This window comes from Homo sapiens, chromosome 11, assembly GCF_000001405.40.
Source record: "Homo sapiens chromosome 11, GRCh38.p14 Primary Assembly".
NCBI classification, from domain to species: domain Eukaryota; kingdom Metazoa; phylum Chordata; class Mammalia; order Primates; family Hominidae; genus Homo; species Homo sapiens.
The window spans coordinates 117,860,472-117,880,165 of NC_000011.10; the positions used below are offsets into that span (position 1 = coordinate 117,860,472).

The 19,694-nt window shown below is 50.5% G+C and overlaps 2 protein-coding genes across 7 annotated transcripts in view, besides 8 other annotated features; both read right to left on the bottom strand.

Annotated features, from left to right (window-relative positions):
• The window catches only part of FXYD6-FXYD2 (FXYD6-FXYD2 readthrough), a 56,602-nt gene extending 40,415 nt beyond the window's left edge, over nucleotides 1-16,187 (bottom strand). For both annotated transcript variants that reach the window (NM_001243598.4, NM_001204268.3), the window contains exon 1: nucleotides 16,121-16,187. The gene's annotated coding sequence lies outside the window, so the exon portion shown is untranslated. The remainder of the gene's footprint in view (nucleotides 1-16,120) is intronic.
• Nucleotides 1-16,959, bottom strand: part of FXYD6 (FXYD domain containing ion transport regulator 6) — a 40,450-nt gene extending 23,491 nt beyond the window's left edge. For 4 of the 5 annotated variants that reach the window (NM_022003.4, NM_001164832.3, NM_001164837.3 and 1 more), the window contains exon 1: nucleotides 16,121-16,187. The gene's annotated coding sequence lies outside the window, so the exon portion shown is untranslated. Of the gene's footprint in view, nucleotides 1-16,120; nucleotides 16,188-16,827 lie in introns of those variants that run through there. The other variant, NM_001164831.3, reaches the window with a different exon arrangement.
• Nucleotides 7,312-8,511: an enhancer, noted in NCBI's record as "BRD4-independent group 4 enhancer chr11:117738498-117739697 (GRCh37/hg19 assembly coordinates)". NCBI's record gives its function as "activates an origin of replication core promoter dependent on BRD2, P300/CBP, MED14 and CDK7 cofactors, and independent of BRD4, by STARR-seq in HCT116 cells {active_cell/tissue: HCT116}" and the evidence as "EXISTENCE:reporter gene assay evidence [ECO:0000049][PMID:35650434]".
• Nucleotides 7,312-8,820: a biological region, named in NCBI's record as "BRD4-independent group 4 enhancer GRCh37_chr11:117738498-117739697".
• Nucleotides 8,300-8,820: an enhancer, noted in NCBI's record as "NANOG-H3K4me1 hESC enhancer chr11:117739486-117740006 (GRCh37/hg19 assembly coordinates)". NCBI's record gives its function as "activates a minimal SCP1, AML or CMV promoter by ChIP-STARR-seq in naive H9 embryonic stem cells {active_cell/tissue: H9 hESC(naive)}" and the evidence as "EXISTENCE:reporter gene assay evidence [ECO:0000049][PMID:30033119]".
• Nucleotides 8,821-9,340: an enhancer, noted in NCBI's record as "NANOG-H3K4me1 hESC enhancer chr11:117740007-117740526 (GRCh37/hg19 assembly coordinates)". NCBI's record gives its function as "activates a minimal SCP1, AML or CMV promoter by ChIP-STARR-seq in primed H9 embryonic stem cells {active_cell/tissue: H9 hESC(primed)}" and the evidence as "EXISTENCE:reporter gene assay evidence [ECO:0000049][PMID:30033119]".
• Nucleotides 9,341-9,860: an enhancer, noted in NCBI's record as "H3K4me1 hESC enhancer chr11:117740527-117741046 (GRCh37/hg19 assembly coordinates)". NCBI's record gives its function as "activates a minimal SCP1, AML or CMV promoter by ChIP-STARR-seq in naive H9 embryonic stem cells {active_cell/tissue: H9 hESC(naive)}" and the evidence as "EXISTENCE:reporter gene assay evidence [ECO:0000049][PMID:30033119]".
• Nucleotides 9,341-10,077: a biological region, named in NCBI's record as "Sharpr-MPRA regulatory region 1172".
• Nucleotides 9,769-9,818: an enhancer, noted in NCBI's record as "active region_5576". NCBI's record gives its function as "activates an Ori minimal core promoter by ATAC-STARR-seq in GM12878 lymphoblastoid cells {active_cell/tissue: GM12878}" and the evidence as "EXISTENCE:reporter gene assay evidence [ECO:0000049][PMID:35858748]".
• Nucleotides 9,783-10,077: a silencer, noted in NCBI's record as "tiled region #1172; K562 Repressive non-DNase unmatched - State 20:ReprD". NCBI's record gives its function as "represses a minimal TATA promoter and a strong SV40 promoter by Sharpr-MPRA in K562 cells {active_cell/tissue: K562}" and the evidence as "EXISTENCE:reporter gene assay evidence [ECO:0000049][PMID:27701403]".

Here is a 19,694-nt window from a genome sequence, read left to right on the forward strand (position 1 = left end):
TTCGTGCGCTAGAGAGACAGCAGAATGTACAATCCTGCCAGCTCACCCCTGAGAAAGCATTGATACTCACTTGTTGAACAGAGAGCTGTTTACTCGGGTGGGGGATTTTTAAAAACAGGCTACGGAACCCTGAAGCTGATTAGGCCGAGGGTGAGAGCATGGGGTGCGGGCAGCGCAGAATCAGTGCAGAATCTGCCAGTCCGTTCCCTTGTCCACTTTCCAAGGCTATGATCAAGGTCAAGTGAGATAATAGGTGTGAAGGTTCTTTGTAAACTGTAAAACACCCTGATAACAACATGTAACATTCGTAAGGTGCTCATGCCATACCAAGTGTTGTTCTAAATAGTTATATAACTCATTCTACCCTTACAATAGTCCTAAGAAGCAACTATTATTACGATCATTCCCTTTACACAGACGGGCAGACTGAGGTGAGAAAGATTAAGTAAGCTGCCCCAAATTCCAGAGCTAGAAAGTAGCAGAGCCTAGATTCAATCCCAAGCAACCTGGCTCCAGGGTCCTTGCTCTGAGCACTCAGCTCTCCCTCCTCTCTGCCACTCAGTGGCTCTGTGGCCTCGGGAGCGTTACTTGGCTTCTCAGAGTCTTGGCTTCTGCAACTGCAAGATGGGCCTAACAGCATGCATCTCGGGATCAGTGAGGGTCAGATGAGGTGGTCTTTGTGCCCACATCAGTCCCCTCTTCTGTGAATGACATCCCCTTTTGGAAGGGAGCCTGCTCTGTCCCCACTCGAACCCTGCTGGTCTATGGGAGCCTGCCAATCTCAGCTCCTTCCCTGTAGCTAAAAGACATGGTAGGAAAGACCTCAGCATCCTGCCGGATGAAAGGAGGAGGAGTCTGTTGGGGGAGAAGTCGGCCAATAGCTGACAGGTACAGAGCTGGCAGGGGAGAGAGGCAGGGAGGAGGGGCCCAGAGAGCTTCCTAGCTGTGCCTCAGGCTCCTGTGTTCCCACACCAGAGGGCCCCACCCTTCCCGAGTCTGGCTCTGTAAACTGATACCCCTGCTTCAACTAAATTAGATGGAGTTCTGTTGCTGTCATTTGCAATGAAAAGAGACGGCCTGTGGACGGAGCTGAGTGCAGCCTGGCGAATAGTAACTGCTGGTGAAGCATCACCTGTTAGTATCATTACTGTATCACTGCCCAACTCTGTCCTTGGCTTCCTCCTTCATTTCTACCTTTTCCAGGAAAATGGAAAGATAAACAGAGATAGGGGCTAGGGAGAGGGCCCAGTTACTTCCTCCCCCTTCCCTTCCTTTTAACATTGTCCTCCAACCACTGGAAGGCTCCAGGGTCCTCGTGTGGTCACAGGACGTGGAGGGTCCTCGTGAGGTCACAGGATGTGGAGGGGCCTCGGCCCACAGCTGACACTGGCTCCCGGCCACTGCCTTTTCCTGCCTCAAGACAAACATCCTATGTCATCCAGAGCTGCAGATATGTGGCCCAGGGAGGACACATCTGGCTGGGACAGCTAAAGCAAGGGACACATCTTCCCAGGCCCAAACTGAGGGCACCCCCACGAGAGACACAGAAGCAAGACAGACAGAGGACATGAGGCAGCAGGAGAGGAGAGAAAACCCGGAGGAGGAGAAACTGAAAAGGCGATGCCCCAGAGGAAGTGGGAGAGGCAGGCAAAGGAAAGAGAAAGAAAGAGGCTTCGAGACGGGAGAGGCTGGCCCAGGGGCCAAGTCCCCGCAGAAACTGAGCTGGAAAATGGGAAGGAGGGACACAGGTGGTGAAGCCAGGAGAGGTGGAGGCTGCTGAGAGAAGAGAATTGGCTTTAGAGGAAGCATCAAGCAAGCCCTCACGTCATCCTCCTCCTTCTGAGGCCTCGGCTGCCCTGGGTGCCTCCACCATGCCCTAGGTGCCTCCACCATGCCCTGCGTGCCCCACTCACACAGATGCACCTAAAAGCAGAGACAGGAAAATGCACCAGGGCAGGGTATGAGAAGGAAAAGTCAACAGACAGCTGCTGTTCCTGGGAGAAAACAACTCACGCCCTTCCCTGGCTACAGGGCCGCTGCCCAGAAGACACAGTGTCTCTGCTGGAAAGAGACCAGGAGCTGCGGCTATCCCAGACCGAGGCCCAGCCCACAAGGTCCTCAGCCACCTCCTCTGGTCACCATGCCCAATCTTCTTCCTTCACCAAGGTCATTCAAGGAGAAGCCACTGCCTCCCACAAAGGGCCCCTTCAGGGTATCTCTCTAGAAGGGTTGGGCCCTGAGACACACAGGCAGGGCCAAATGGACTTCTGCAAAACCAAGGTGCTGTTCCTAAGATGGCCCTGTTCCTCCCTCCTCCTTGGGTTGAGGAGGTCACGGCAAGATGTATCAAGATAGGAACTCTTGTCCCTCAGGCCTGGGCCCTTCAGTGTATCTGTGACTGTCAAAAGAGAAAGGGGAGCTGCTGTGTCTTACATGTTGCATATTCCTGTTCCCTGCCCACATTGGTCAAAGGGGATGATGATGATGATGATGATGATGATGTGATGATGTTATACACCAGTCATTTATAAGACACCTTATTCACCAGATAACATTACAAGCATTAGCTCAAAGAAACATCACAACTCCATGGGATGTTGGTTATTACTGCTATTTTACAGATTAGAAAAGGAGAGGCTCAGGCTTATGCTATTGCCCAAGGCCCAACAGCTAACAAAAGCATACCTGGAACTGTCACTAATTCTGCTGGTGCCATGCACCTTCCACTCTTTCTTGCTGCCTCCCTGGCACATGTGGAAATGGGCAGGAACTAAGGGAAATAAAATTGGAGGCCCCAATTTATTCCTGGAATGCAAAAATGTTTCAACATATGAAAATCAAGCAATATAATATACCACATTAGCAAAACGGAGGGAAAAAAAACCACACGATCATCTCAATTGATGCAGAAAAAGCATTTGACATCAACATCCTCCCATGAGGAAAACATTCAACAAATTAGGAATAGAAGGAAACTACCTCAACATAATACAAGCCATAAGTTTAAAAAAAAAAAAAACCCACAGCAAACATCACACTCAATGGTCAAAGACTTAACGCTTTTCCTCTAACATCAGGAACAAGGCAAGGATATCCACTTTCACCATTTCTGTTTAACACAGTATTGGAAGTCCTAGCCAGAGCAACTATGCAAAATAAACAAATAAGTAAAAGGCATCCAAATTGGAAAGGAAGAAGTAAAATGATCTCTGTTCACAGATGGTATCATCTTATACATAGAAAACCCTAAAGATCACACATAAAAACTGTAAGAACTAATAAATTCTGCAATGTAGCAGGACACAAGGTCAACACACAAAAAACAATTGCATTTCTATACATTAACAATAAAAAATCTGAAGAGGAAACTAAAAAACAACTCCATATCATAATATCAAAAAGAATAAAATATTTAGAAATTAACCAAGAAGATGAGAAACTCATGCAATAGAAACATTTCTCAAAGAAATTAAAGAAGATGTAAATAAACGGAAAAAATAGTCCATGTTTGTAGATTGAAAGACCTAATATTTTTAAGATATTAATACTATCCAAAATGATCTATAGATTTAATGCAATCCCTATCAAAATCCCAATGACATGTTTTTGTAGAAATAAAAAAATCTATGCTAAAATTCATATGGAATCTCAAGGGACCCTGGGTAGCCAAAAAAATCCTGAAAAAGAACAAAGCTGAAGGACTCAAGCTTCCTGATTTCAAATTCTACTACAAGGCTACAGTATCAAAACAGTGTGTGACATAAGAACAGACATATATACACCAATAGAGTAGGATAAAGTCCAGAAATAACCCTCACATATGTGGTCAAAAGATTTTTGACTTGGGTGCCAAGACCATTCAATGGGGAAAAGACAGTCTTTTCAACAAGTAAGTGCCAGGAAAACCAGATGTACACATGCAAAAGAATAAAGGTAGACCCTTACTTAACACCACACACAAAATTTAACCTAACTGGATCCATGAGCTACACGTAAAACCTAAAACTTAAAACTCTTAGAAAAAAACACAGCAAAAGCTTTATGACGTTGGATATGGCAATGGTTTCTTGAATAGGACAACAAAGGCACAGGCAACAAAAGAAAAAAATAGACAAATTGCACGTTTTTTTTTTGAGACGGAGTCTCACCCTGTTGCCCAGGCTGGAGTGCAACGGCTCAATCTCGGCTGACTGCAACCTCCACCTCCGGGGTTCAAGCAATTCTCCTGCCTCTGCTTCCCGAGTAGCTGGGATTACAGGCACCTGCTACCACACCCAGCTCATTTTTGTATTTTTAGTAGAGACAGGGTTTCTCCATGTGGGTCAGGCTGGTCTCGAACTCCTGACCTCGTGATCCGCAGGCCTCGGCCTCCCAAAGTGCTGGGATTACAGACATGGGTCACCGCGTCTGGCCGAAAAATTGGACTTTATAAAAATGTAAAAATGTGCATCAAAAGACACAATCAACAGATCAAAAATACCACAGAGTGGAAGGAAATATTTTCAAATCATACATCTGCTAGAGACCTCCTAAAACTCAACAACAAAAAAAGCAAACAATTCAATTCAAAAATGAGCAAATAACTTGAACTAACATTTCTCCAAAGAAGATATACAAATGGCCAATAAGCACATGGAAAGATGCTCAACCTCAATAATAATTAGGAAAATGCAAATCAAAACTACAATGCGTACCACCTCATATCCTTTAGGATAGCTGCTATAAAAAAAAGAAAGAAAATAACAAGTGTTGGTGAGGATGTGGAGAAATTGGAACCACTGTGCACTGTTGCTAGGAATGTAAAATGCACAGCTGCCATGGAAAACAGTACAGTGGTTCCTTAAAATATTAAAAATAGAATTCCCATATGATCCAGCAATTCCACCTCTGGATATATACCCAAAAGAATTGGAAATAGAACCTTGAGGAGATATTTGTAAACCCATGTTCATAGCAGCATTATTCACAATAGCTAAAACACAGAAGCAACCCAGGTGTTCATCAGTGGATTAATGGATAAGCAAAATGTGGTATATACACATAAAGGAATATTATTCAACCTTAAAAAGGAAGGAAATTCCAACACATGCATGAATCTTGTGCCCAGCAGCTGTGAGATGGACAGAGGCTGAGGAGGAACATAAGAGTGACTGTGGTGAGGTTGAGCATCCTGGCCAGGCACGGTGGGTCATGCCTGTAATCCCAGCACTTTGGGAGACCAAAGCGGGTGGATCACCTGAGGTCAAGAGTTCGAGACCAGTCTGGCCAACACGGCGAAACTCCATCTCTACTAAAATACAAAAAAATTAGCCGGGCGTGGTGGTGCGCGCCTGTAGTTCCAGCTACCCGGGAGGCTGAGGCAGGAGAATTGCTTGAACCCGGGTGGTGGAGGTTGCAGTGAGATCGTGCCATTGCACTCCAGCCTGGGCGACAGAACAAGATTCCATCTCAAAAAAAACAAAAAAGAGTGCCTGTGGTGAGGCTGAGCATCTTTCCATGTCCTTACTTGTTCCAGCTACAACATGGATGAACCTTGAGGACGTGAGGCCAAGTGAAATAAGCCAGTCACAGAAGGACAAGTACTGTATGATTCCACTCATATGAGGCACGTAGAGTAGTCAAAATCAGAGACAAAAAGGAGAATGGTGGTTGCCAGGGGCACCGGGAAGGGGGGAAATGGGGAGTGAGTGTTTAATGGGTATGGAGTTTCAGTTTCACAAGACGATGGGAGTTCTTGAGATGGATGGTGGTGATCGTTCCACAACAATATGGATATACTTACCTCGCTGCTGAAATGTACACTTAAAAATCATAGTACATTTTATGGTATGTGTATTTTACCATACTAAAAAAAAACTGGGGGGGAAATGGGTATAGGTGACGGGAAAAAACATGTTGACCCTAACTCCTGACCAAGCTGGGCTCACCTGATGAGGGTGTTCTTACCCAGGCCAAGGAAGAATAACCCAAAATACAGCTTTTCAGACTTTGGCATGCATTATCCCCTTTTTCCGCCTTTCACATTTTCTTGCCCAACTCTGTTCTGCTGACTATGACTGAGGTTGGGGTAAAGCTGGGACCCTGGGGCCTGTTAATAGGAGAGGTTGTGGCATGTCTGTTACCCATTGTCAGATCCCAGCTGTTCCCAGCGATGCCCCATCAGTCCCAGCTGAGCTTTGGCATCAGCACAGGCACTCCTGTGTCCCTCTCAGCCTCTGTCCATCTCACAGCTGCTGAGTGCCCCGCTGCACTTTGCCTAGCAGAATACCAGTGCATTTATGCTGAGTACTGGATGGAGTCCCAGACCAGTTGTAGGCTATCCTGTCCACTGGAGCTCAGCTCAGGGTGGGTGCCAACAGAACTACTAGCCGGCAGCCTTTCACCGTGGGCTGCAGAGCTGCAGATCACCTTTTTTTCTGGTATGGCTCAGAATTAGATGAGGGTGTAGAATCGAAATAAAGGCCACCCCTACTCAAAAATGTATCTGCCTCCACAACAATTCTTCCCAAGGAGAGACGTTTAAATGTCACGGCATCACTACAAGAGAAATACTCCCAATCCTAACAGTCATTTATATCTTGGCCTGAGTTATTTAATCAGATTGCTTTCCACAGCAGAGAAATTTGCCTGCATTTAGGTGGAGAAATTGGGGGAGAAAGAGCGTACTTTTGGAACAAGGTGTAATTTTGGAAACAATGGCACCCTTATCCTTCCAGTAACCAAGTTAACAAATATTTATTGATGGCCTAATGCTTTCCAGCACTTCACTCATCACTGAGGACACTGCAGTGAGCAAGACAGACACAATCCCTGCCTCCCTGCCTGACGGAGGTTACGGCCTCACCAAGTTTCCGGGGCTTCCTCTCTCCTTCCCCATCTCCACACTGCATCTGTGGCAAAGTCCTAGCCATGCTCGCACTTGCAGTATCTCTCTAATTGGAACTTCCTTTCCGTCACTCCTCTGGGTAACTTACCTAATAGTGCAGTAGCTGGACCCATCTTTAACCTCCTCCTTCCCCTCTGTGCTGGACACTGATTACTGCAGGACTAACCTTTCTAAAGTGTATTCTGAATACCTCCCTCCCAAACTCAAAGGCATTCGGTGGTGCCTCTACGTCCTATTTAGTTTTTTAAAATCCAAACTTCTTTCTGGCATATGAAAATCTCTAAGTGTACCTCTCTTCTACCCCTCCAGTATCTTCTCATTACTTTCAGCTAAGATGGTCTACGTTCCATCTTCTGCCACATGTGTCTCTAACTGCGTGCCTTTGTATATTCTGTTCCTTCTACTTACAATGCCCTTCCCTTCTTTGTTTATTCCAGTTCTCAACCCTGGTTGTACCTTAGGATCACATGAAGAGCTTCAGAAAAAAAAAAGAAAGAAAGAAAGAAAAGAAAAAAGATGCCTGGAAATCAACTCAGCCACATTCAGCTCTAAACCCGGGCAGTGTAGCCAAGGGCAGTGTAGCCAAGGTATCGGTAATTTTGAGAATCTCCCCCACTCATTCTGATGTGCAGCCAAGGTTAATAAATGCTATCTTTGTCCAGCTGCCACTCCACGTAGACCCCTTTCTCCAGACTCCAAGAGCGCCTGTCGCCTGTCGTTGGCACTAATTTGGCGCATAGCACATTCTGTTTCATGCTCGCTTCATTAAGATTCTCCTATCGGAAAAGTCTCTGTGCTACCCCATGATCTGTCCTCACCTGGGATGGTGAGGACGGCCGAAAGTGCTGGCTGATGGTTTGGTATGTTTGTCTCGAGGAGCGGAGAGAACACAGCTCCAATCACCAGGCCTTGAAACTGTGCTGCGTGGGGGGCATGAAAGGGATGGAAAACCCAGTCCCATCAACGTCAACAGCAATGAATCATCCTGATTGTATCGTCTTGGTGTGATGTGATGAAAATGGCACTTTCCCTCTGTGATCTTCCTCCCTAAAACCCATCACTCCAGTCTAATCATGAGGAGAACATCGAACAAATCCCAACAGGGCCACATCCTACAATACACCTGACCAGTGACCCTCAGAACTGTCAAAGTCCTGGGAAGCCTGAGAAAAGGTCACCACCCAGAGGCACCAAAAGAGGCACGACTCAATGGAGTGTGGTATCCTGGATGGGATCCTAGAACAGAAAAAGGACATAAGGTACAAACGAACGACATTTTAATAAAGTGTCAATGTTAGTCAATATTATTGTACCAATATTTGTTCATTAATTGTAACAAATGTACCACCCTAATGTAAGATCGTAATAATAGCAGAAACTGCATGCCAGGGGAGAAAATTGGAACTCATACAATCTGCCCAAGTTTTCTGTAAATCTAACTGTTCTAAAAAGATAGTCTATTCGTAGAAAAATAATAAAAATTCAAAAATTCAGTTAAAAGCAATCCTCAACCCCATCCCAGCACTCCGGCTCCTGCTCACCTTTCCGGCATTTGATGAATCTGTAACAGGAGCTGGGCTTCTCTGGTTCAGAGCCTCAGAGCAAACAAACAACCATCAAGGGCTTTTAAAGCTGCCTTTTAAAACAAGTGCTTTGGGTCGACCAGAGGCCACAGATCCATCAGTGGAAAATGCAACCAGTTCCCTCAATTTGCATTTTAAATGCCCATCAAATAAACAATTAAGCATCAATTATTGTTAAATCACCTAACTTGAAATGATTGCCCGCCCCGCCCAGCCAGCAATGTTCCAGAGAGGAGTCGAGGAGGAGACTGGACTCAGAGACTGGCAAGGGAAAGGACAGAGCAGAGGGTGGTGAAATTCCAGCAGTCCATGGCTCAAGGAGGCTGCAGACACTGCTGAATTTCCCAAGCTGCCAGGAAGGCAGCTGGACAGTCTAGGAGCAGGACAGGGCACCTCCGCCCAGCGCATCACTGTGGCTGACACCTCCCAGGGTGGCCTTTCCCTCTCCTGTCAGGCGCCTTCAGTAGCCCAACGGCTCGAATGCTGCCCCTCCAACCCTCATTCATGGAAGAGGGGCACTCCCACTGCGAGGGTGCTGGAGGCTGAGTCGTCAGGTACCCTGGACTCAACCGGCCCAGACCCAACCCAGCCCGGCTGCACAGGGTGGAGCGGGAGAGGCAAAACTCTCTTGTCATATAGCAGGGGACTTATTTTTAACCTGGAGGCACCTTTATCTTTAACATGAAAACATGAAGTTCTTTCTAGGGAAGAGAAACTTGGACAGAGGAAAAAGAAGAAGAAGAAGAAGAAGAGAGAGAGACAGAAAATAACTGACTGTGAAAAGAAATAAGGCCTCTTCCTTAGAAACAGAAACAGAATTCACAAATCACAAATCCAGGCCTGTTTTCTGGAAGTCTCCCTGGAAAGATCCCAAGCTGGACCATAAGCGGAGGCATGGTGGAGAGATCTTAGCCTCTGGTCTTTCAGTGCGTGCCGGCCTGGCTTTGTCCTCCAGCTGCATGCGGGTCACTGTCATTCCAATCACATCCCCTCATCCTTGGCCCTCTCTGCCCACATCAGATATTCTGAACTGGGGCAGCCCCATTCTCTGGGCCCCAGCCTGGTCCGTGGGGCCCCAGCCCCCTTCCCAGGTCTTGCTGTCACCTCACCATCACTGACAACCGTGACACTGTGGCATCCCAGCCATCACCCATGGACTTCTCACAACAGCCCTCAGAAGCAGAAACACAGAACAGTACTGCGAGGCCAACTCAGGCACAGGCCAATGCCGCGCCTTGCCCAGAGGGAGTCAGAGTGGGATTCAGGCCTCCTGCCTGCCAGCACAGGGGCTGAGGCCCCTCTGGTTCCCCAGGAGATCTCGGTCTGGCTCCAGAGAGTCTGAATGGTGAGTGGTATTGCACAGAAGCCACAGGCTGGGGCCCCAGCAGGCTGCACGCCCCAGCAGGGCGTGATGGAGTCAGGCCAGGATGGGATCACCTCCCCCACACACCTGCTGACAAAGGCCCATTCAAGACAGGACAGACAGCAGTCCCAGCAGCAGACACAGAAACCCAGAGCAGCTGCCAGGGCCAGGAACCCAGAAGCCAGGCCCACGCCACCCTGCCCACAGCCAGGCCACAGCACCAGGCAGCCCCCTTTGCTCTCTCTGCCTACCTCTTTAGAAGGACAGCTCTGGCCTGCATGTTTCAGCCTACAGGGCACTTTGCACAATTTCATATTGTCTCCCTTTTAGGGGTAGAAGTGGCATGAAGATGAACCCTGACCCACGGGCCTGGATACCCAGAAATGTGCCCTGCCTTTAGAGGAGGGGGCTGTTGACCTGACTCTGTCTCTGTTTCAGGAAACACATTATCCCCTCCCTCCCCTCAATGCATCCTCATACCCACAGAGCCAAGGCCTACACCCCTTCCCATGTAGGGCTGTCACCAGTGTATGCCCCCATCACACCATAGCTCCCTGGGAGCACAGGCACACTCTGGCCATCTCTGGATCCCTGGCACTGAGCACAGCAGCTGCTCAATAAATGTTGATGTGTGAATGAAAGGACGCTTCAGCATCATTATCCCTTTACATCAAATCCATTCTAAGCTCAGAACAACCAAAGGATCTGTAGGGAATTTTTCAGGCATTTAAAACTTTCTCGGTATCCTCCTTCCTCCATTGCCTCATTTCTAATCTCTGTGTCTCTGTCAAATCCCAACTACCAAAATGCTGTGAGGAATCAGCCTCTCTCCTTTGACTTCAGCTTTTAAGCATCTCTCAGACCTCAGATGGGGTCAAATTCTTAGTTTCTAGACTCTACCAAAGCAAGTGGGAGACTGAGGTGACGCACGGTAATAAAGGGATGTGCATCTTGGGAACGCGTGGTGTGCACCGGCGTATGGGAGACAGCCGGGAAGGGCGACTAGGTGTCTACACCTCCTGGTGATGAGGACTCTTCCCCATGCGTGTCACAGCACACACGCTGTTCACTGGGCTTTCTCCACGTGTCTGACACTGTGCCAGGCACCGTGGGGAGAACAGACCTGCCATTGAGAGGCGGTGCAGTGGAGCGGGCGGGGTGGGAGGCGGGGCGTGTCCCTCTGCAGCTAAAATGCAGGTGTGTGCTCTCAAGGAAGAACTGACAGGACATTCACGGTATATGAGTATGTTTATTGGGAATTTTAATGCCTGTTTATTGGGAATATGGAATAATTACTTGAAAGAATAAACACTTGGGAGGAGCCACGAAGGATGATATAACAATAATAATGCCATTCTAATAATCCTAATAATGTGTCATTACTATCATTATTACAGCAGCTGATATCTCCTGAGTGTTTACTCCATGCTAGGCAGCATGCTGAGCCCTTTACACAGCTCGCCTCATACTGTCCTCACACTCATTTGACAGGTAAGGAAACTGAGGTTTAGCAAAGTGAAGAAATCCAGGAAGCATCAGAATGCAGTTTAGAATCCAAGTTTGTGTGTCTACAAAGACTGCCACCCTCTACTCGGCACATTCCAGCAACGGCTTGAGCTCAGGCAGAGGGTGAGACAGTACCAGGCTTCGGATGACCATCTGGAGAAGGTGCCTGCAGAGGTGGCTGCAGCCAGGTCACGCTGAGCCTGGAGTGCCTACACCATGTACCTGTGCTTATTAATAGGCACTGGTGAGCCTGGGGAGGTTTTTGAGCAGAGGAGTGGCAAACCTGGACCTGAGCTGTAACATCAGTGGGTAAAATGGAATGGGCTGAGAGGGTGGACGTTCACAGGCCATCACCATGGTCTGAGAGACTGCAGCTCTTCGGGAGAGGTGACAGGGCGTGTGAGAATGTGTGAGCCACTGCCTCCCTGTCGGGTGTGGGAGATTATATATGTGTGAGGAAGGGAACGTGTGTGAGAGTGTAAGTGCACCCGTGATTGCATGGAGGGGCTCTTCCTATGGAGGAAGAAAGTCGCAGGGCCTCCTGGTAGGATGTGGACATGAGGTGGACAGTAGGGGAGAGGAAGGAACAGGACAAGCCCATTGATCTACCTGAGCAGGAGGGCTCCAGCAAAGGAGAAACCTCAGAAGCCCACAGGGCCTGCCTGACATATGAGGGGAACATTTATTAAAAGGATGAACGAGGGAGTTTGAAACCTTAGCCTCTGGTCTCTCAGTGTGGGCCTGGCTTTGTCCTCCAGCTGCGTGGGGGTCACTGTTATTCTAACTACACCCCTTCATCCTTGGCCCTCTCTGCCCACATCAGATATTCTGAGCTGGGGCAGCCCCATTCCCATGGCCCCAGCCTGGTCCGTGGGGGCCCAGCCCCTTTCCCAGGCTGTGTGCTCCCTCCCACATCTTTGTAACAAACATGTTCCTGCGCAGCCTACAAGCTGGCTTCATCCCTTCCCAGGTCGGGACCTCTCCCTCCCCGGATTCTGGAGCAGAGATGATGCTGCCAAATTGGTTCCATGCTTTTGTTTCGGCCGGAGATGTCCTGCCTCTCATCAGGGACGGTGTCAGAGCACTGTGTTCCCGACCGGCCCCTCTCGTTGCAACTCTCCAGCTGGCCAGGGGTTCTCCCTGCAGAAGATTTCATGGACCTCCAAAATGACAGCCCAGTCCTCTCCAGTTGTCTCTTCCAGAGAACAACTCTTTAAAGAACCCCCCCCAACCGCCGCCCGCCTCCAGTGTGCAGCCTGGTAGAAAAGGCCAGGTAGACCACAGCATCCAGGAGGAGGTGGCTCCCTCAGCCCTAAAGAAAAAAACTTGGTTTCAGCTTCTAGGGCACCTTCTGCCACACTGGGTGAAAAGGAAACTTTCTCCAGGGTAACCAGAGCCCAGCCCCTTCCTGCTCAGCTCAGCTCAGCTGCAGCCCTGTATTATGAAATAATGAGTACTATTTGGTACCTGGAGAGAAAAGGGATCTCTTTCAAGATTGTATAATCCACACAAATTTAGAGGAAGACATGCCTTGGAAATCATGAGTCTAAACCCCACTATTGACAGATGCGGAAACAAAGGTCTAAAATCCGAAAGGCTTTCAGTTGCTGAAGAGCAGTCCAAGCCATTTCTGGATTTCACCAGAAGCCCAGTTTGCATCCAAAGGGATATTTGTGCAATGAACGCATTTGCCTTTCGGTAGCACGGAAGCTCAGGGGGAGAGCTGGGGCTAGAACCCGGCCTTTCCACAGCAGGCTCCCTGCCTCCTTGGGGCTGTGCCTTTCTTGACTGGTTTGCTTCCCTTAGGGTGCTCAGAAGGTGATTTGTTCGAAGGTGAATATTGGGGGGCTGCCTGGCACAGTCTGCCATCCAGATGGCGGCCGACTAAGTCCAACAAGGTTGGGAGGAAGAGAGGAGGTGCTCTTATTTAGGGGAGATTTCGGTGGGTGGACTCCCCCGAGGCTGTCGGGAAATTTCCAGGGTCTAGGAAACTGCCCTTTCTCCCCCATCTCCTTGCCACAGCTTCCAGCCTCGCCTTCCAAGAAAACATAGTGAAGCAGGCTCCTCGGTTGTACCCGCCCACTAAGGGACCCTCACTTTGGAAGGGCGTCCCAGTCACCAGCCGACCAAAGGCTCTCCCTCCATAGGTTTCCATCAACCCACCATCTCTGATGGTGACTGAGAAAAGAAAGCAAGGGTTGCAGGACAGGCAGTGTGAAGGCCAAAATCCTGGCCGAGGAGTTAGAAGGCCTCAGCGACTACTGGCCACGTGACTGCTGAGCCTCAGTTTCCCCCACTGTGTTCCCACTGGATGCTCCCTCAAGGCCTCTTCCGGCTCTGAGAAACCTAGGATTCCGATGTCAGGGATTGTGTCTCCCTCCTCACCTTCATGTCCCCAGCAATTAATACACAGTAGACACTTAAAACAGTTCTTTGAATGATTGAATGAAATCGGTCCTCAGGTCAGTCTGAAGATCCGATGGAAGCCAGGAAGGAAACGCTTCCCCCAGGCGCCTACCGTCTGTCAACCATAGAAGCCACACGTCTTGGGAGAACCCTGGCAAGCCTAGAGCCCTTTGCACACCCGCTTCCTCTCCTAGATGCACAGATCTGTTTGGAGGAGCCAGGGGGGAAGCAGGAAAACGTGCCAGGAAGAGAGGGTGGCCTGAACCCCAGGCAACGGCGGGTAGCCCTAACTTTCGCTTTCTTGACTCCTGTGGCCCCTCTCCTTCCCTCTTTCTGGTTTCCCTCCCCTTCCTGCCTCCCTGGCCTGGCCTCCTTGGCTTTCCTGGGACAGTAACCACTTTTCCTTCTCTCCTTTGTTAGGGCTCAGAGCCTCCGATGGTCCCAGAGCTGGCCTGATCCTCTGCTGGTGAGGATGACTCCCAGAGCCTCAGGCTTTCTCTGGGTCAGGGAAAAGAGCAGCGGCAGTGGAGAGATTGAAATTCTGGTCAGTGCCCAGCTTCTGGAGCCCAGCACCTGGGAATGGCTCTCGTTAACACCTGGAGCTCCGGACTGGGGCTTTGAGGAGGAGGGAAAAGGGCTGCGCCCACTCTTTATCCAACCTTCCCTTCCAGGTTTAGGGAAGGGGCTCCTCTTTTGAGGGAATCTGGCAGTGCCTTTCCCTCCACCTTCCTCTGCAGGGTTCCCAGGGAGATGTTAGGGTTTTCCTTCTGGGCTTCCTGAGCCTCCATCTCTTCCCCTCCACACCCCTAGGGAGGTGGCTGGATAAGGAAGGAAACTGCCCTCTCTCTCCCCTGCCTCAGCCCAGCCTGAGACTTATTTAGATGTACTGTGTGTGTGTGTGTGCATGCACAGTGCGCATGTAGGGTGTCAGTGTAGCATTGTAGCTGGTGTGTGGTGGTGCGGTATATATGCGGTGTGTTTGGTGTGTATGTGTGTATAGGTATGATGTATATGTATGTGTGGTGTGAGTGTGAGGGTGTGTTGATTGCGTAGTGTGGTATATGTCTGTATGTGTTTGTGGTGTTGGTGATGTGCAGTGTGTGTGAAGTGGGTGGTGTGAGTAAGGGGCCACTGCAATTGGGTGTAGGAGCCAGATATCTAGGTCTCCTAGCCAGGGATAACCAGTATCTAGGCAACCATACTGGGGGGAGGGGAGGAGATATGGAGGTGAGGAATGGGCAGGAGAAAGAGGGAGGCTGAGAAATGGAGGAGTTTCCATGGCAACGACCAGGCAAGTCACGTGCAAAAGGCTAAGTTGCGGACGTAGACATACACATCCATAATATGAGGGTGGCTGGATCCCCAAAGGGGGCTCCTTTCAGAGAGGGCCTGAGATGCCCACTGATCCATCTTCAAAGCTGGAAATCTTAGCCCAGCCAGACAGCACGAAGCCACAGAGACAAAGGAAGTAGTGGCAGAGAGCACACTGGTGGGGAGAAGCCTCCAGTAGCCACGGTCCCGCGAGCGTGCAGGCTTGCAGCAGGTGACGCGGCAGACCCATGTTTCCAGCGAGGCTGCTCCCAGCTCCCACCCTCGGGTGCCTCCTCTACCAGCCACCACTTGTAAGAGCCAGAAGCCAGCGCTGGGAGCTCCAGGCTGCACACCCAACTCTCCACGGAAGCCCGGGAGACACAATAGGGGAGGCTCTGCCAGGGCCAGCCCTGCTGGGGAAAGGGGGCAATGGCGGACCCCAGGGCCCCCCGGAAAGGAAACAGGATTGGATGGATAAGACAAGAAGGAGGGAAAAAATGATGCACTCTCATGAATCCCCGAGCGCTAGAATCCTTCTTTCCCTGCGCCCCCATCCTGTGCCCACTGCCCAGCCCCACCTTCCCCAAGCACCAAACCAGCAAGTTCCATTTTGTGTCGCTCATAAGTCCACACTCACACCCAGCCACACGCCCTCGTCCGTAATTCCCCACGCTCCACCAAGTGTCCACAGCTTCCAAGTAACAAAGGGAAAACTCCTCATGGATAAAGGGTGGGCGCAGCCCTTTCCCCTTCTCCTGAAAACCCTGACCCCAAGCTCAAGGCAGCACCGAGAGCAATTCCCAGCCACCAGCGTCACCCCCAGCGCCACAGCCTGCCTCCCCTAGAGGCTCCTCTCTCTTCCGACGCCGATCTCCTTGTTTACATCCCCAGCCCGGTTTCCCGCTGCCCAGGCGGGGACCGCGGCGCAGCTGACCGCGGAGGACCGCACACACCCACTGAACACACAAAACCCGGCGCTCCCGGCGCTCCAGAGATCGGTCCCCACCGAGCCTCGCCCCTCCTCGGAAAAAGGAGCCAACTTTGCCCACCTCCCCAGCCGCCTACCTGCACAGCCGGTCCCCTCCGAGACTCCCAGGAGGACCCGCCGAGTCCCGAGGAGCCTGGGAGTGGCGGGGCTGGGGGCAGGGCGGTGGGTGAGGCTTGAGCTGCTTTCCCGCCTCCCCTCCTCCTAGGAGTCGGGCTGGCTGGGAGGCGCGTCCTGCGGGGGCGGGGGGGGGGCTCGCTCGGGGCTGGGCTCGGGGACAGCCCACTCCGTGCTGCCGTCCGCTGGCTTCTGGGTAGCGGCCGCGCGCAGACCCCCTCTCCTCCTCTCCCTGTCCGTCCTCCCGCTCTGTGCTCGCGCGCGTCCTCTGCTCCTCTCTCCTCTCGAGGGGCGGAGAGATTTTTCCAAAGGGCAGTCAAGCTCCGAGAAGCAACAGGAGACTGCCGCCGAGGAGGCGTGCAAGCGCCGGAGCGGATTTGCCATCAGCTGTTGCTTTTCGGTTTCCCTCTGGTTAGGGTGGGAAGGGAGCAAGACAGGCACAATGACAGACCTGGTGTCTCTCTGCAATAGTAAACCCCGAGGAACGGAAAAATAGGAGAAAATAACCCAGCACCAGACACAGCAGCCCACGTTAATTGGGAGCCTTGGTAATTAAGGGGAATGTGCACCAAAAGCATGAATGGCTGTGTCGTGGGCGCAGGAGCCAGCTCCAGTTGTAGTTGTCATTTTCAGCTAGAGCCAGGTGGGGAGCTGGGGGGATGGTCCTTACCTGAACCATAGATCTGCTGCCTTGAACCCCCTTTTCAAGCCCCATCCACCTCTGGCCCTGCCAGGAGCAGTACCACCCCGTCCTCAGCCCAGTCCCCAAGAGTCAAAATTCATGATGACGAACTTTGAATGTGAAGATGTAAATAAATCCTGGCTCGGCAACCCTGCCTGTGACGCGACTTGGAGCATATCTCTGCACTCAGCTCCTGAGTCTATTTCCTCACGTGGGAAAATGGTGATTAGAGACTGACCCCATGGGAGGCTTAGCTCATAGTGAGTGCTCAAGAAATTGGCTCTTACTATTAGGGGCAGAGCTTGTAGGAAGGGGCAGAGGCCAGGCACAAGTGTCAGTAGCCAGGAGCCATGCTGAGATGGAGGCTGTCCAGCCTCAGTCAAGGTGTGTGTATGGCCGAGCCGGGTGGAGGGAGGAGCTACTGAGAAAGGCTGTGATTGTCCAAGCCTAGGTAGGGCCACGGAGAGTTCCTTACAAACCCCAAGCCGGGGATGATGGGTACTGCTAGGAAGAAACCTAGCCCTGCCTCTGCTGCCCTCAGTTCTGGGCCTGTTTTCTCATTTGGGAAAATAGGGAGATGGACTAGATGATCCTGAGGTCTCTTCCAGCTCTGCCCTAGATGATCTAATTATTTTAATAAAAGGTCAGGTCTCAAAACCCCAAGGCAGGAAATATACATGAACTCAAGAAGACTTTGGAACCAGTAGGGGAACCATAAATAGCTACTGAGAAAGAGCACCCAAAAAGCCTCCCCTCAGGGGATAGTTCTGGCCCCTTAATCATGGGACCTGGCTGAATGGATGCCACTCTGGCCCAGTCCTGAACTCCCTGGGGTTCCTGTGAATGCTAAAGCTCCTTCTCCAAAGCCAGACTCAAATCTTGCCTATTTGCGTGCCTAACCCTTTGCCGTTCCTGTCTTTTCCTCTATAAACTGAGGACAGCATTCCAACTGTCGTTTTCCCTTTTCATGTATTCTAGGTGGCAGATTTAAAACCACATCCCTTTCTAGGCCCATGTCCTTAGGCAGGTACATTCATCCCTCCAAATGCCCTTGAATCCTGCCTTTTGGCCATCTCTCTGTGCTTTTTAGAGCACCTACTAGTGATGACACGTCAAGCCCAGGCTTTGCAAGCCTATTTGGGAAAGGATAGTTCAGAACTCCAAAGCCAAGCCACCTTCTGGTTCAACCCCATTTCCAGCCAGAGAGTTCTGAAGTGTTTGGCCCAGTGACTTCCCAGGTCCCCCTACCTAATGCTGACCAGCCCAGGCTGCAGAGGGATAACAGGAACTAAATGTGCATGAGAAACCGCCATGGCTTAACTCTCAAATAGTGCTTCATCACGTTCCATCCAAGGGTACTGCTGGAAGAATTTGGGGTGTTACAGCTACAAAGCAGCACGCAAGCTTGTTCTGGGGTGAGTCACATCTCCCTTCTAGCAGGAAAATAAACACATCTACCCCCTGTGAAAAATGTGGGCATTCATAAAAAGAGGTCGCCAGCTGTTCCATTCTTTCAACCACGTATGGACAGGAGGAGCTACTCTTCACTGAGACCTGGGCCAAGATCTGAGGATATACTGTGGAGAGGAAAGATGTGGTCCCTGGGTGAGATAGAGATTTAGCAAATGTTCCCATGAATAAACGTGTAATTAAAACACAGTTCAGAGCCCTGAAGATATAGCATTTGAGAAAGGTCAGGAGATGTTAAGAAGATGAGGTAAAGGAGCCAAGAATTGGGATGTCAGGGTGGGAAGATGATTCTGCCTCTGGAACAGAAGCAGTATGTGCAAAGGCCCTGAGGCAGAAGGGGCATGGTGTGAAAGGAGCCAGGGTGGGACTGGCCCAACAATTCCTGGTGATTCCAGCTTTTATCCTGGGAAGCACTGATGGGCATCATGAAAACTGTTCTGAGCAAGAATTGGTGAGAGGTTGGGTTGGGATGTTCCTGGTGGACCCTGCAAGTCAGGGTTCAGGGGGCTGTGTGGGGGCAGCACTAACATGAAGCTGAGAAATAAGCCTGATCCCCACTAAAGAATCCTGCTTCTTTACAAGCCCAAAGAACAAAAAAAGATCCAGGGCAGGGCTGCGCAGCCATGGAGAAAGTAGGGTAAGAAAGGGTGGAAACCATTCCTGAAATACTCCCCACCCGCCAGAACTGGAACCATGGGAAGACCTGGAGCTGGAGAGGACAGCATAACTGCTGGGAGCATCAGGGACTGCTCTATGCTTTGAAGCTTGCTCTGGGCTAAGTAACTCACAAATGTGCAGCTAAAATCCCATCTGGAGAGGACTTGCCCTGGTCCCCTTGTATTGCAGCAAAATAGCCCTTCCGCATGTCAGTGCCCTGGTCACACAGCCACGGACAGGTCACAGAGTGACCTCCTGTGTCCTGGTCACACCGGACATGGAGGGCCTAAAGGGGAAGTTAAAGGGGAGAGACCAGGAGTCTTAGAAGAGACCCTCACCCCTCCTAGCAGGCATCCCTTCTAGTGGGGTGCCACTTCATCCTGGGGTGGGGCTGCAGAAGGGAGCCGATCTTGCCCACTGACTGCTACTTTGTGTCCATGCATACCCACTTGGCTTTGCACAGGTGTGAATGTGTGTCCTCCCCACTCAGCCAAATGCCAAACCCCCAACCCCTAGGACAGAATCGTTTCCTAGCTCCTTGGCTGAAACAGCTCTGCTCACTTCCAAACCACTCCTTGATCCTGGGTCCCTTCCTCTCTCTCCAACCTTTCTTTGTCAAACTCCTCCAACTTCTCCCTCAAGCAGCTGTGTTGAGTCCTTGGTCATCTTATGCAGTTGCTAGACAATCTAAATCCACAACCAGGGTTTTACCACCCGCTTAGGCTTGA